General features: G+C 36.4%; 1 protein-coding gene across 52 annotated transcripts in view; it reads left to right on the top strand.

The window, feature by feature from the left end:
- Positions 1-16,426, top strand: part of DLG2 (discs large MAGUK scaffold protein 2) — a 2,173,362-nt gene that overhangs the window by 1,409,002 nt on the left and 747,934 nt on the right. The window lies entirely within an intron of this gene.

The following is a 16,426-nucleotide window of genomic DNA, read 5'->3' as shown; positions in this document are numbered from 1 at the left end:
TCAAGTTCAAAATCTCCCCGTAACAATAGAGTACCTCTCACACATTGGTGAATGAGTACAAAGGATTTAGATGTAGAAACTTGACTTCAAGTTCTAGTTCTGTCACTGCTTAATGTTGTAAAAATAACCAAGTCAACTAGGGACAAAAAGTTCATTTAGGAAATTATTGTAATACCTCAGGAAAGAGGAAATGCATATCTTAGTAGGATTGTGCCAGCTAAAACACAGAGGTTGGAATTACATTCAGAAATTCTCTGAAGGTAGAGTCAGCGCATCTTGACAACCAGTAAATCATGGTATTTACAGGATTGATTATGTAATGTGTTTTCCCTGAAGTATGGTCCTTGGAACATCAACTCTAGGAGATACAAGTTAAGGTACCAATAGCTGCCATAATAAACCCCATAATTTCAGTGCCTTAATACAATAGAAAAATATTTTTCTCTCACTTAACAGTCTAAATTGTTTATCAGCTTTGGCCCTATTGATACATTGGATAATTTGTTGTCATGAAGAGCTGTTCTATGCACTGTAGAATGTTTAGCAGCTTCCCTGGCCTCTACTCACTAAATGTCAGTAATGCCAACTCCTCAGTAGTGATAACTAAAAATATTTACAGACATTGCCAAATGTTTCCTGAGGGACAAAATCACACCAAGTAGAAAATCGCTGGTCTAATATATGTATTCCTGATCACTGAGAACTTTCTTCCACACAGTGACCCAGGATCCTTTCATTTTAAGGGTCTGCCAAACTTCTTTCTACTAGCAGAGAAAGGAGAAAGAGATCACAGACAAGGGATACCGTTTTCTTAAAAGCCTTGCTTCAGGCACTCATATGTCTTTTGCTCAAATTCCAATGTCATGAACCTATCACCCAGTAATATGTAGATACAAGAGGAGCCAGGAAATACGCTCTTATTTGGAAGCTTGCTTCCCAGGTCCATCCTTCTGTCAATCCTTCCTTCCTTCCTCCCTCCCTCCCTCCCTCCCTCCCTTTCTCCCTTTCTCTCGCTCTCTCTTTCCTTCCTTCCCTTCTTTCCTTCTCTTTCTTTCTCTCTCTCTCTTTCTTTCTCTTTCTCTCTTTCTCTCTCTCCCTTTTTCCCTCCCTCCCTCCTTCCTTCCTTCCTTCCTTTCCTTCCTTCCTTCCTTTCTTTCCTTCCTTCCTTCCTTTCCTTCTTTGTTTCTTTTTCTTTCTCTCTTTCTTCAGCAGAGCCTGCACTGTCACCCAGGCTGGAGTGCAGTGGCACAATCTCAGCTCACCGCAATTTCCACCTCCTGGGTTCAAATGATTCTCCTGCCTCAGCCTCCCAAATGGCTGGGATTACAGGCACATGCCACCACACCTGGCTAATTTTTGTATTTTTATTAGAAATGGGATTTCACCATGTTGGCTAGGCTGGTCTCTAACTCCTGACCTCAAGTGATCTGCCCACCTTGGCCTCCTAAAGTGCTGGGATTACAGGTGTGAGCCACTGCACCAGGCCACAGGTTCTACTTTCTACTATGGAAAAGAGAGCACAAAATTTGTTGAACAGCTAGCAACCTCTGCCATAGTCTGACTGAAAACATGTTTCCTAGCCAAATATTTTTGGAAACTCTTCAGATTAAATATCTCTCTTAAAAACTCACAATGAACATTAGCACTTTAAAGTTTCTGAGCAATCCAGCATGGAATGTGTCTGTTAAGTTTTCTTGAAGTTAACACGCCTGAAATTTATTTGACCACATAATCCCTTCTCCCCCATTTTGTTGTTGATTTTTGTTTTTGAGATAATATTAGTGTGCTATTGATGGTTGTATTAGTCCATTTTCATGATGCTGATACAAACATATGTGAGACTGGGCAATTTACAAAAGAAAGAGGTTTAATGGACTCACAAGTTCCATGTGGCTGGGGAGGCCTCACAATCATGGTGGAAGATGAAGGGCACATCTCACTTGGCGGCAGACAAGAGAAGAGACTTTATGTAGGGAAACTCCCCTTTATAAAGCCATCAGATCTAATAAGACTTATTCACTATCACGAGAATAGCACAGGAAAGACCTGCCCCCATGATTCAATTACTTCCCGCCAAGTCACTCCAACAACACATGAGAATTGTGGAAGCTATAATTCAAGATGAGATTTGGGTGGGGACACAGCCAACCCATATAAATGGTCATGATATTTCTGACACCTTATTTCTGGCTTCTTTCGGAGGTGTTAGAACCTGTACCAGAGAATGGACAGAAATAAGGAAAGAAGTTCATATTGATGGAGAGTTTGAACATATTCATTGACCAGTTAGTTTTAGGAAACATTCTGCTAAGTCTTATCTATTGATTTGATATAAACTAATGACAATTAGTGGTTTTTAAATAATCAAACTTTTTTCCTTCCATTCATTTATTTTTTAGGAGCTAAATGTGAGCTTGCCACTTTGTATACATACTGTCCCCTTGAATTTTTACTATATTTTCATGATTCCATAATGCCAGCTGGTAAATTCAGAAAAACAAATACACTTTATTTATTATAATCTATTTAGGTAGTAGGGAAATCAGGAAATTCCTACCATATTTAAGCTTCTTAGTACCTGAATTACTATGAGCAATATAACATTTCTTTGTTGCTAATGATTTATATTATAGCCCACTATATGGTCTCTCCACCAATTGCTAGTATTAAGTTTGATGTCTCCTTCATGCTTTCCATTGCACATCCGCTGCTCCTTTTATTCTCCTTACTCTTAGCCCTATTTCCTACTCTTTTTCGTTTTCCCTCATCTCTAGGTTGGACAAGCTTATTCTTTATAACTTTCTCTTTCTTATTCATCACTCATCCCAACCCAAATCCATTGAAAGTATGTGTCCATTTTACAATATCCTGTTAGATAAACAAAATCGTTACATGTAAAACAAATATTAGGCTTAAAGATTCCTATTATAGTGTAGTAGGCAGATTTTTGCCCCCCGTGATCTCTCCTGCTTGGCGTTATTCCTTTGGTTATATTACATAATGCAGTCAAAGGGAATTTGCAGACATAATTATGGTTGCTAATCAACTAAACTTAAAATAGGGAGATTATCCTGGATTTTCTGGGGGGATTCACTGTAATTACATGAGCCTTAAAATAAGAAGAGAAACTCAGAAATATTCACAGCATGAGAAGGACTGGCCTGCTGATGCTTGCTTGAATAGATAGGGGCCCACAAAGAAAGCATGAGAAGGAAATTACTTCAACCAGTGAGCTTAGACCCAGAGCCTTATATTAGGAACACAGCCATGGGTGACACTTTGATGTAACCTAGTGAGACTCAGTTGAGAATCCCATTATGTCATATCAAACTTCTGACCTACAGAAATGTGAGATAATTAATGGCTATTTTTTAAGCCACTAAATTGCAGTAAGGTGTTATGAATCAATAGAAAACCAAAACTTACCGAACAAGTCAGTTCTTCCCTTTCCAAAACCACTACTTCTGGAATTCATTAAGCAGTGAGCAATTGGAATGCATTCAATTTATAAGCTGATTCTAAGACATTGTCCAATACATCATTTTTCTGGACTATTTCTACACTAAAAATGACCTGTTCATGACCAGTGATGTTATTTTTTTATCTTTTCATCTCAGAGTATGTCCTTATCTACCTACTTTCCTCAGAGAGGTTTGTTTCTGATGCTGATGCTGGACCCTCTATAGGTATCATCTAACATATGCTCACTAGTAACATCATTACTGCACCTCAATATCTGGTTTTCCTCTCTTTCATGAGCATGTAGATGGGACACTACATTTCCTAGCTCCTTTGAAGTTAGGCAGGATCTTATGTTTTGTTCTAGGCAATGGACTTTAAGCTGAACCAGCAAAAAGCCCCTTCTTGACCTCCAGCTCTTTGTTAACAGCCTGGAAACTGCTCAACTTGTAGAAGATTTTTGTAAGGAAAAAAAAATAATTGATAGTGTTAAGACACTGAAATTTAGGTGTTAATTTTGCTCAACAGTGTAACCTAGCCTATCCTGATTAATCCAGAAACAGATACACGCTCTTCCCAGTGACAATATTTTACTAGATTTCTGGATTATCCTTCATTATGTAGCATTCAGACCAAGATACTATGCCTACTATGATCAGGTGGAAGTTTTCTAATTCAGCTCATGTTGCAGAGAAAATTCAGAGTATGATTTTTGAAAAGGAAAAAATAAGCTTTGACGTGTTTCGGACCTATGTATCAACTAAAACAGGTACATGCTTAACTCCACCAGCAACACGTCTACTGTGATTCATATTCTTCTTTCTGTGTTTTTCTTTGAAGTTACTTTATTCTTTTGAAGTTCACCTTGAAGAACTGAGCAACTCTAAGACAGTCATTATTTCTTCACCATGACATGACTAATAGCTTCTGCCATAGGTGACAGTTCTTTGCAATCTTTAATTTCTCTTTCTATTCTTCAAGACTTGCATTGAAATGTATCTTCATCAAATGGATATATTTATACCTTTTCCTACTTAATCACATTTCTGATATATGATTGCTCTTTCAATAGATTACCTAAGTGCCTGAAAAGATAACTACTCTTAAAATTGAGCCAAGATCATTTTATCTCTTTTTGCTTGAAAAATTCCAGACAGTTGGTTAATCTGCTTAACAAGAGGGTGTGGAAGTGGACTGTAAACTGAATATGCTAGTTATGTTTCTCTCATGAAATTAAAACTAGGTGAGTTGTAATTTACAACCTGAGATTTCATTTGACACATACTTTTTAGAAGCTGTACTGAGAGTGCAATCTGGCTAAATTTAATTTTACGTAATTTTCCAAGATTATTTCTTCATCTCAAGTTTCTGAGATATAGAAGCATTGGTCTACAAAAACTGAGGTTGAACTCTTGAGGATTTGTTTATAAAAACATACATATAGATATACTCAGACATATATGTTTATACATATATAAACATGTATAGAATATACATGTATATATAAGCATGTTTACACATATATAAAACATATTTATATGTATGTTTGTATATAAACATATACATATGTATGTACACATAAAAACATATATAAACATGTATAGAAATATATATTCTCTCATATATATATTCATATATGTGTATATATATTCATATATATGTATATATATATTCATATATATGTATATATGTATTCATATATATATGTATATATATATGAAGACCCTAGTTTTGGCTCTGAATTGATAGCTGAACTTTCAGGTTAGTATTTGAAATATTCATCATCATTTTTCACTAATTCTACTAAGCTTGGGCTTTTTAAATTACTGTTTTAATTTGTTAAGGAAAAGAAAGAGTAAGCAGGATAATAGTCCATTGGGTTATTTGCCCTCTGTGGGTGTGATCAGCAGAGCCAAACATATTAATAACCAATAATGAACAATTGTGATGTATAAAATGATATGGTTCTTGGTAGAGTCCTCCATTCAAGCTAGTGCAATAACAAAAACCACAGTGTTTCTCAGACTTTATTGTGTATAGGAATTACCTAGGGATCTTACATCCTTTTTTTTTTTCTTTTTTTTTTTTTTTTTTGAGACGGAGTCTCGCTCTGTCACCCAGGCTGGAGTGCAGTGGCGTGGTCTCGGCTCACTGCAAGCTCCGCCTCTCGGGTTCACGCCATTCTCCTGCCTCAGCCTCCCGAGTAGCTGGGACTACAGGTGCCCGCCACCACGCCAGTCTAATTTTTTCTATTTTTAGTAGAGACAGGGTTTGACCATGTTAGCCAGGATGGTCTTGATCTCCTGACCTCGTGATCCACCCGCCTCGGCCTCCCAAAGTGCTGGGATTACAGGCATGAGCCACCGCGCCTGGCCTCTTACATACATTCTAATTTAGTAGGTCTTAAGTCTGGAAATTTTACATTTTTAATAAACTCTTGGGTAATGCCAATGCTACTAGTTCATACTTTGGATCATACCTTGAGTAGCTTACCTCTAAAGCAGTCATTCATTAATTTATTCAATAGACATTTGTTGAGCCCCCAGTGTGAACTAGGCCTTTTAAGTTCATAGAGCATTTCCTGCTCTTAAGGAGCTCACATCCTAGCAAAGTCAGGCTCATACACAGATAACTAATGAAAATGAGAAAAGTGATATAATGAGATGACTACAAAGGGTATGGAAGGTTAGATGGGGGTGATTAATCCTTCTTGTGGTGTAGCAAGGGAGTTGGGGTGGCAATGGAAGATTTCCTCTGACCTAACTCTTAAGGACTAGGAGTTCTTTTCATTTTGAAGATTTATGTTTGCTGGAACAAGGCCTAGGGAGTTGGTAAACTGTGTAAGCAGCTCCTCCTGAAAGTAAAGAATAATAACAGTGTGGCTCACACAATGTGGCAGCATGGATTTTCAGACGGGAACTATCTACCTACCCCGTCTCATAAAAGTGAAAGTAAGGCCGGGCGCCGCGGCTCACGCCTGTAATCCCAGTACTTTAGGGAGCTGAGGTGGGCGGATCACGAAGTCAGGTGATCAAGACCATCCTGGCTAACAAGGTGAAACCCCATCTCTACTAAAAATACGAAAAGTTAGCCAGGCGTGGTGGCATGCACCTATAGTCCCAGCTACTCGGGAGGCTGAGGCAGTAGATTCGCTTGAACCGGGAGGCGGAGGTTGCAGTGAGCCGAGATTGCACCACCGCACTCCAGCCTGAGTAACAGAGCGAGACTCTTGTCTCAAAAAAAGTGAAAGTAAGTACCGTACTTGAATTCAGTCAAATGACCCCTTAGAAAAGCATCATTAGCCACTGGTTTTCAAGTCAATTACGAAAACTCAAAGGCTTATTTGTTAGTTTTTAAATAGGTTTAAATGGACAAATTCTTTGATCTACTGCCACTACTTCTTAAAATAAAATTAACAAAGGCAGATTTTCCTTTAAGCAAATGAAACTTAGAGGCCATTCATTTGCATGGCTCTTTCCAGTGCCCCAAGGGGGATTGCAGCAATTGTGTTTTTGTAATTTTATGTCATTTTTCTTAAATAAGAGGTCCCCAAATTATATAAGATTCAAGCCCCACAGAACCTGGATCCAGCCCTGCAAACATACCTTCTATTGTGAGAATCATTATGCTTTTAGTGTTTGCTTTAAGGAATATGCTCTGGTATCACTATAATTGGTAAATTATGTTTAATCAATTTTCATACAGTTGAGCTCTGCAGGTAATAACCCAAAGAAAGACGGTCTCCAGGGATGATAAAAATTATCTCTTAACTCATGAATATTCCATTTGCTCATTTTCTACAGATAGATTACTTCATTTGAAAGTAATAGAAAAACACAGAACGGCATGCATGCTGCAAACAGTGCTTAGTGTAAATGTTTCATAATGAAACCAGCGTCTTGGCATAACTGTTTATATGCAATGCACTGAGCCTTTCCAGCTCACACTTGAGGGAGGTTATATACACATCTATTTATCCTCTTATATAGAATAGAAGTATAGCATATATTCTAAGTTTGGAAATGTTGGAGCCATCTACTCTAATTTTGATAAATATATCTTATCTTCACAGCAAAAAAAGTCTGAATATAATCAGCCATTATTTTCCCTTTAACAAAAGGGATTTTTCTGCTGAGTTAAATCTGATCCTATAGACTGAGTTTCCTATAGGTGATAAAACTAAATAAAATAGTTTTAAACATAGTTATAATACTAAGGAAAGTCTATTTTATCTTGAATTAAAATTTTGTCTTCCATTTTTTAGTATTGTTTTTACCTAAAGCAATAGGGAAAATTTGGGAAGTGGGCATGCATTTATTATATTTACCCATAAGCTTTCCCTTTTTAAAACCTGTTACAAATTAAATTGGCTGGGTTTGGTGGTTCACACCTGTAATCCCAGCACTTTGGGAGGCTAAGGTGGGCAGATCACTGGAGCCCAGGAGTTTGAGACCAGTCTGGGCAACATAGTAAGACCCAATCTCTCTCTTAAATAAATAATTATTCAAACTAATTTTGAAAGCTTCTCTTATAGAGAATATGGCACTGGTCTCAATCTGAGCAGGGAAGGAGGTGAACTACAAGTATAATAGGATAATACTCAATTACCTAGGCTGAAGTGGGTTATCATTTGCATTCATCTCTGCAATAATAGGAATGCCATAAGAGAGGAATACAGCAATACAGAAAGTACTTTTGTATCACCAATATGAGAGGGCTTAATTGCAATCAGGAGAGTCTGAGATGACTATAATCACTTTTTACAGTAGTTTATGCTCCAGTGAGAACTAACAGATGTCATATATTTCTGTTATATCTGTTTCTACAGTTGTTTTGTTTCTTTTCATCCAACGATATACTTTAGAAACTTGATTCAAGAGTTCAAGTCAGAGCTTTTCTTTTCCTTACCTAAATGTTTAAGTGAAGTACAATTATATACAGCAAAATGCACAGATCTTAAAGTGTACAGATTGCTGAGTTTTGATAAACGAATACGCTTGTGTAACACTTTAAACTGAGATATAGAGTACTGACATCACCCTAGAAAGTTCTCTTTTCTTTTTTTCAGTCTGTGCCCTCCCAGAATCAACCAGTATCCTGATTTCTTTCTTCATTACTTAGTTTTGCCGTTCCTTAAACTCATAAAAATGAAATAATTCAGTATATACTTGCTGTGTCTTCTATCACTCAACATGTTTTTTAAGATTCATTCATATTGTTATTTGTATCAAGAACTTGTTCCTTTATTTCTAAGTAGTAGTCTATTGTTTAAACATACAATAATTTGTTTATCCATGTTCCCAATAATAGACATTTCAGTTGTTTGCAGTTTTTTGCTTTTCTGAATAAAGCTGCAATGAAGATTCTTTTTTTTTTTTTTTAATTTAAGTTTTAGGGTACATGTGCACATTGTGCAGGTTAGTTACATATGTATACATGTGCCATGCTGGTGCGCTGCACCCACTAACTCGTCATCTAGCCTTAGGTATATCTCCCAGTGCTATCCCTCCCCGCTCCCCCCACCCCACCACAGTCCCCAGAGTGTGATATTCCCCTTCCTGTGTCCATGTGATCTTTACAGGACACTTTGTGGACATATGTTTTAATTAATTAATTAATTTAATTTTTTGGAGACAGAGTATCACTCTGTCACCCAGGCTAGAGTGCAGTGGCTCTATCTTGGCTTACTGTAACCTCCACCTCCCAGGTTCAAGCAATTCTCCTGCCTCAGCCTCCTGAGTAGCTGGGATTACAGGCATGTACCACCATGACCATATAATTTTTGTATTTTTAGTAGAGATAGGGTTTCACCATGTTTCCCAGGCTGGTCTTGAACTCCTGACCTCAGATGTTCTTCCCGCCTCTGCCTCCCAAAGTGCTGGGATTACATGCATGAGCCACCATACCCAGTCTAATTTATTTGGAGTAGATAACTAGAAGTAGAATTTCTGGATCCTTAGATAGGTGTTATGTTTAACTGTTATAAGAAGATACTAATCTTTAATCAGAACCTGCCCAACATTTTGGTACAGTGGTTGTTCTAGTCTACATTTGCACCAGCAGTGTATAAGGGAGCCAGTTCCTCTGTATCCTCTTCAACATTAAATGTTGTTCATCTTTTTAATTTTAGCTATTCCAGTGAGTGGCATCTCATTGCGCTTTTGGCATGTGTTTCCACTAAGACTAAAGATTTTGAGCATCTTTTTCATGTGTTTATTGTTTATTCATATATCCCATCTTGCTAAGTGTTGGTCCAAGTGTTTGTCCATTTCTTCACGAACAAATTTTTTTTTTTATTTTGGAACAATCTTAGATTTACAGGAACGTTAAAAAAATAGGAAAGAGAATTTCTTTATGCCCGTGAACCAGTTTTTCACATTGATAACATATTATATTACCATAGAATATTTGTCAGCATTAAGAAACCAACTTTGATATATTACTATTAACTAAACTCCAAACTTTATTTGGATTCCACCAGTGTTCCTATTAACGTATACTTTCTCTTCTGGAATTCAGTCCGAGATTCCGCATTGCATTCATTTGTCATGTTACTCTAAGTCCTCCAGCCTGTGACAATTTTTCAGGCTTTTCTTATTTCTTGCGACCTTGATTATCTTTAGAATACTGGCCAAGTATCCTGTGAAATGTGCCTAATCTAGATTTATCTAATGTTTTTACTTTAATGATCAGACTAGTTTTATGAGTGTTTAAAAAGAATATCACAGAGGTCAACTGTCCTTCTCAATACATCACATGAGGTGATGTGTAATATCTACTTGACGTTTCTGGTGACGTTAACCTTTATCACGTGGTTAAACTAGTGTTTCCAGATTCTCTCAAGGGACAAATCTAGGTAATATATGTATGTATATTATCCTATGTATACACATATATCTATAATTTTTAAATCTATTAATTTGGGTGCATATATGAGTCTATATTTAAACATGAGTTCATATTGATGTCTCTGACTATACTCCAGTTCTATTCTAACCTTCCTTTTCTGCTTATCGGTTACTTCCCTCTCCAAAAGTGAGAAGCTAGACTCCCACTTTCTACCATCCACTATTTACTTAATACCAGTATACATGTAAACTGGTTTCAAAACTTTTAACCTTAATCCCTATGATAAACAAATTTATCAATTAAAGTACAGTGTTTATGTACAGTGTACACTTCCTTTTATCTTTAAATACATAGTTTTCAGCCAAAACACCATTTTCTTTATTTTTCTTTCATTATTTTTTATTTTAAAAAGTTTATTCTGGCCAGGAGTGGTGGCTCATGCCTGTAATCCCAGCACTTTGGGATGCCCAAGTGGGCAGATTGCCTGAGTTCAGTAGTTCGAGACCAGCCTGGCTAACATGGTGAAACTCTGTCTCTAGTAAAAATACAAAAATTAGCCATGTGTGGTGGCGCGCACCTGTAGTCCCAGCTACTCAGGAGGCTGAGGCAGGAGAATCACTTCATCCCATGAGGCAGAGGTTGCCGTAGGCTGAGATTGCACCACTGAACTCCAGCCTGCATGACAGAGCGAGTCCATCTCACCAAAAAAAAAAAAAAAAAAAGTTTATTCTGAGCCAATATGAGTGACCATGGCCCACAGAAACACAGTCTCTAGAGGTCCTGAGAGAGTGCACCAAAGTCGGTTGTGTTACAGTTTGGTTTTACACATTTCAGGGAGACAGGAGTTGCAGGCAAAGACATAAATCAATGGAACAAAATTGTAAGTCAAGATATAGTGCCATAAATATATAGTAAAAGTAAAATACAAATACTAATGTATACATGAAACGTATACATTGGTTTGGACTGCAAAGGTGAGATATGTTGAAGCAGAAGCTTATAGGTTAGAGGTGGATTCATAGATCCTTTTTTAAAAAAACTTTTATTTCAGGTTCAGGGATACAGAACACTGTTTTCTAAAGTTACTCAGGTGAGCCTTTTTTCCCCATGTAAAGAAATGAGCTATTTACTTTTTTATTATTTATTTATGAAAATTGTTTTGTATATTCAAGATGCAAATCTTTTTCATAAACATGTTTTGCAGTTCTGTCCCAGACCGTGGCTTACATTTTCACTTTCTCAAGAGTGACTTTTGATGAGACATTTACATTTTTATCATGTTGTTTATAAAATTTTCTTTTATGGTTAGTGAGTTGGATTCTAAAATACCTTTGCATATCTCTAGATCACAAAGAATTTTAAAAATGTTTTCTTTTATGAACTTTATAGTTTTAACTATTACATAATGGTTTTTAATCCATCACAAAATACTTGTTGTGTATGATGTGAGGAAGATGTCAAGGTTCAATTTTTCCAATAGATATCCAGGTAATCCAGCACCATTGGTCAAAAAGATGTTTCTTTCCCCTCTGAATGCCATTGGCGCCTTTGTCAAAAATTATTTTACTATATATTTATGGTACTATATCTGGACTCAGTATTTTGTTCCAGTGATTTATATGTCTAGCATATGCCAATACCATACTGTCTTAGTAAGTATAGCTTTATAATAAATATTAAAGTCAAGTAGTGCAAATTATCTGATTTTTTTTTTCTTTCAAGATTGTATTGGCTATCTTGACCCTTTATATTTCTTTATACACTTTGGGGTCAACTTACCAAATTCTGCAGAAAGCCTGCTATGATATTCATTGGCATTTCATTGACTTTTCAAGTAAACTTAAAAATAATTTACCTCTCTACAATATTGAGTCTTCCAGCCCATAAGCGTGGTATATTTTTCCATTTATGTAAGCTATCTCAGCAGTATTTTGTAATTTTCAGTGTAGGAGTAGTCATATATACATACATATATATATATAGAGAGAGAGAGAGAGAGAGAGATTTATTCTTATATATCTTGTATTTTTTGTTGCTGATGAATTGGCATTGATTTTTTAAATTTAATTTTCCAACAGTTGGTTGGTAATATACATACATGCAAATAACTTTTTACATTGAACTTTTATCCTAAGACGTTACTGAATTCCCTTATTAACCTAATTTTATATGAATTTTTTGGTATTTGTTTGTTTTAGATTTGGGGGAGGTTTCTACATATAAAGTTGTGTCATCTGCAAACAAAGTCATTTTTATGCATTATTCCCCAAATTTTATGCCTTCTATTTATTTTCTTTGTCCATTATAATGTCCATGCTAAGGTCTCCAATATAATGTTGAATCAAAGTAATGGAAGCATTATCACAAATAGGTATAAAGATACTGTCCGATTATTTTTCTGTACCTATTGAGATGACTATATGAATTTTCTCTTGTATATTATTAGTATGTTGAGTTACACTGATTGATTTTTAAATGTTAAGCCCACCTTGTATTCTTGTGAAAAATTCCCCTTGGTCCTGATGTATTATCCTATTTATATATTATTAGATTTGGTGTGCTACTATTTTGTTTAGGAATTTTGCATCTTTGTTCTTGGAGGATATTGATCTTTTGCTTTTCTCATTGTGTTCTTGTCAGGTTATATTATCAGACTAACCCTGGCCTCAAAAAATGACTTGGGATGTTTTCCTTTGTTCTCTATTTTGTGGAAGAGTTTGTATAAGAATGGTGTTATTTCTTCTTTACATATTTGGTAGAATTTACAAGCAAGGCCATGTGGACATGGAATTACTTTGTGGAGTTTTTAAACTTCACATTCAATGTTTTCAACAGATGCAGGACGATTCAGGACTATACAAGACTATACAGGACTAAACAGTTTTCTATTCCTTCTTGAATAAGCTTTGGTAGTTTGTGTCCATTGAAAAGAGTTTCTATGCCAAAGAAACTGCAACTTAGATGAAATATTACAGTATTTCATCTAAGCTGCAGAGTTTACTAGCATAGAAATGTTGATAATATTGCCTTCATTTCTGTTTAATATATTTAAGACTCGTAATGATGTTCTCCCTTTATTCCTGATATTGGAATTGATGCCATCTGTCTTTAAAAAAATCAGTTTTATTAGGTGTTTATCAACTTCATTGATTTTTATCAGAGTACTACCTTGTATTTGGTGACATCTTCTATTGTTTGCTTGCTTTCTATTTCACTGACTTCTGTCCTTCATTATTTTCTTTTAGTTACTTTGAATATACCATCTTCATTTTTGTAGCTTTTTAAGATAGAAGCTTAGATCATTGGTTTTTGATCTTTTTTGATTTCCATTACAAGCATTTAAGGCAATGAATTTCCTTAGCACCACTTTAGCTGAGTCCAAAAAAATTTGTTATCTATTATGCTTTTATTATGCTGCAAATCAAAATATTTTTTATTTTCTTTATGATCTTTTATTTGACTCACAAATAATTAAGAAATATGTTACTTTATTTTTGTTTTTTTTTTTAATTTAATTCTGTTATTCTCAGAGAATTTAGTCTATGTTTTCAGTCCTTTGAAATTTATTGAGATTTGTTTTATGGCCCAGTGTAGTCTTACTTGATGAGTGTTTTATGTGTGCTTAAAAAGAATCTGTATTATGCATATACTGAGTGTTCTATAATATATATAGTGCCAATTTGGTCAATAGTATTATTTGAATCTTTTATATTCTTACTTTTTATTTACTTGTTCACTCAATTACTCAAAGAGGAATATTAAAGTCTCCAAATATATTTGTAGATTTGTCTATACTTCCCTTTAGTTTTGTAAGTTTTTGCTCCTTCTATTCTGAAGCTTTATGGTTAGGTATGAATACAGTTAAGATTGCTTTGTCTTTCTGCTGAATCTGTCTTTTAGTCCTTATGAAATATCCCTCTTTTTCCGTTTTGCTCCTTGTTTTACAGTCTACATCATCTCCTTTAATAACGCAGTTCACTATTATTATGATTTGTGTTAGCTTTATTTACCATCCTCTTAATTTCTATCTATGTTTTTTAATTTAAAGTACATCAGTGGCTGCTGGGTGCGGTGACTCACGCCTGTAATCCCAGCACTTTGGGAGGCTGAGGCGGGTGTATCACCTGAGGTCAGGAGTTCAAGACCAGCCTGGCCAGTATGGCAAAATCCCATCTCTCCTAATCATACAAAAAAAATAGCCAAGTGTGGTGGCGGGAGCCTATAATCCCAGCTACTTAGGAGGCTGAGGCAGGAGAATGGCTTGAATTCAGGAGGCAGAGGGTGCAGTGAACCACTCCAGTCCTGGAGACAGAATGAGACTCTATCTCAAAAGAATAATAACAAATAAAATAAAATAAATTAAAAAGTATATCAATGGCAAGCATTGTAGAGTGTTTTTATTAATGTCTATTCTGATATCTGCCTTTTAATTGAAATGTCTTTCATTTGCATTTAATATAAATAATAATTATAATGTTTCATTTAAGTCCACCATTAGTAATTTATCTGTTTCTTCTGTTTTTTTGTTTCTTTGATCTTCCTTTCCAGCCTTCTTTTGGAATAATCACATATTTTGTAGTATTTTATCTTCCTGTATTGAAAATTTTTCTTGTATTAATTTTTAGTAGTTGCACTGAAGATTATACTATCCATCTTTAACCTATTACAGTTTAGATGAATCAATACCGTGCCCTGCCACATATAAGAAATTTATTGTACTGTATTTCTCTATTTCTATTTTTTGTGTTACTCTTACCTATGCTGTACATCCCCACAAAACGTTGTTTGCTTTAAAAATCAAATATCTTGGCAGGCACGGTGGCTTACGCCTGTAATCCCAGCACTTTGGGAGGCCGAGGTGGGCGGATCACCTGAGGTCGGGAGTTCGAGACCAGCCTGACAAACATGGAGAAACCCCGTCTCTACTAAAAGTACAAAATTAGCCGGGCATGGTGGTGGGCACCTGTAATCCCAGCTATTCGGGAGGCTGAGGCAGGAGAATCACTTGAACCTGGGAGGCAGAGGTTGTGGTGATCTGAGATCATACCATTCCACACCAGGCTGGGCAACAAGAGCAAAACTCCGTCTCAAAAATAAAAAATAAAAAATATTTTTCCCCGACTTTTATTTTAAGTTCAGGGACACATGTGCAGGATGTGCAGACTTGTTACATAGGTAGATGTGTGCCATGGTGGTTTGCTGCACAGGTCATCCCATCACCTAGGTATTAAGACCAGCCTCTATTAGCTGTTCTTCCTGAGGCATTCCCTCCTGTCACCCACACCCTCTGACAAGCCCCATTTTGTGTTTTTCCCTTCCATGTGTTCATGTGTTCTCATCATTCAGTTCCCACTTATAAGTGAGAATATGTAGTGCTTGGTTTTCTGTTTCTGTGTTAGACTGCTGAGGTTAATGGCTTCTAGCTCCATCCATGTCCCTGCTGCAAAGGATATGATCTCATTCCTTTTTTTTTTTTTTTTTTGAGACGGAGTCTCGCTCTGTTGCCCGGGCTGGAGTGCAGTGGCTCAATCTCGGCTCACTGCAAGCTCCGCCTCCCGGGTTCACGCCATTCTCCTGCCCCAGCCTCCCAAGTAGCTGGAACTACAGGCACCCGCCACCACGCCCAGCTAATTTTTTGTATTTTTAGTAGAGACGGGGTTTCACTGTGTTAGCCAGGATGGTCTCCATCTCCTAACCTCGTGATCTGCCCACCTCAGCCTCCCAAAGTGCTGAGATTACAGGCGTGAGCCACCACACCTGGCGGATCGCATTCCTTTTTATGGCTGCATAGTATTCCATGGTGTATATGTACCATATTTTCTTTATCCAGTCTATCATTGATGGGCATTTAGGTTGGTTCCATGCCTTTGCTATTGTGAACAGTGCTGCACTGAACATACATGTGCATGTGATTTTATCATAGAATTTTTTATATTTCTTTTGGTATATACCTAGTAATGGGATTGTTCGGTCAAATGGTATTTTTGCCTCTAGGTCTTTGAGGATTCACCACAGTGTCTTCCACAACAGTTGAACTAATTTACACTCCCACCAACAGTGTAAAAGCTTTCCTTTTTCTCCATAACCTTGTGAGAAACTGTTGTTGTTTGACTTTTAA

This window comes from Homo sapiens, chromosome 11, assembly GCF_000001405.40.
Source record: "Homo sapiens chromosome 11, GRCh38.p14 Primary Assembly".
NCBI lineage: Eukaryota > Metazoa > Chordata > Mammalia > Primates > Hominidae > Homo > Homo sapiens.
Note: the sequence above shows the minus strand (reverse complement) of the source record. Positions and strands in the feature narration are given on the sequence as shown.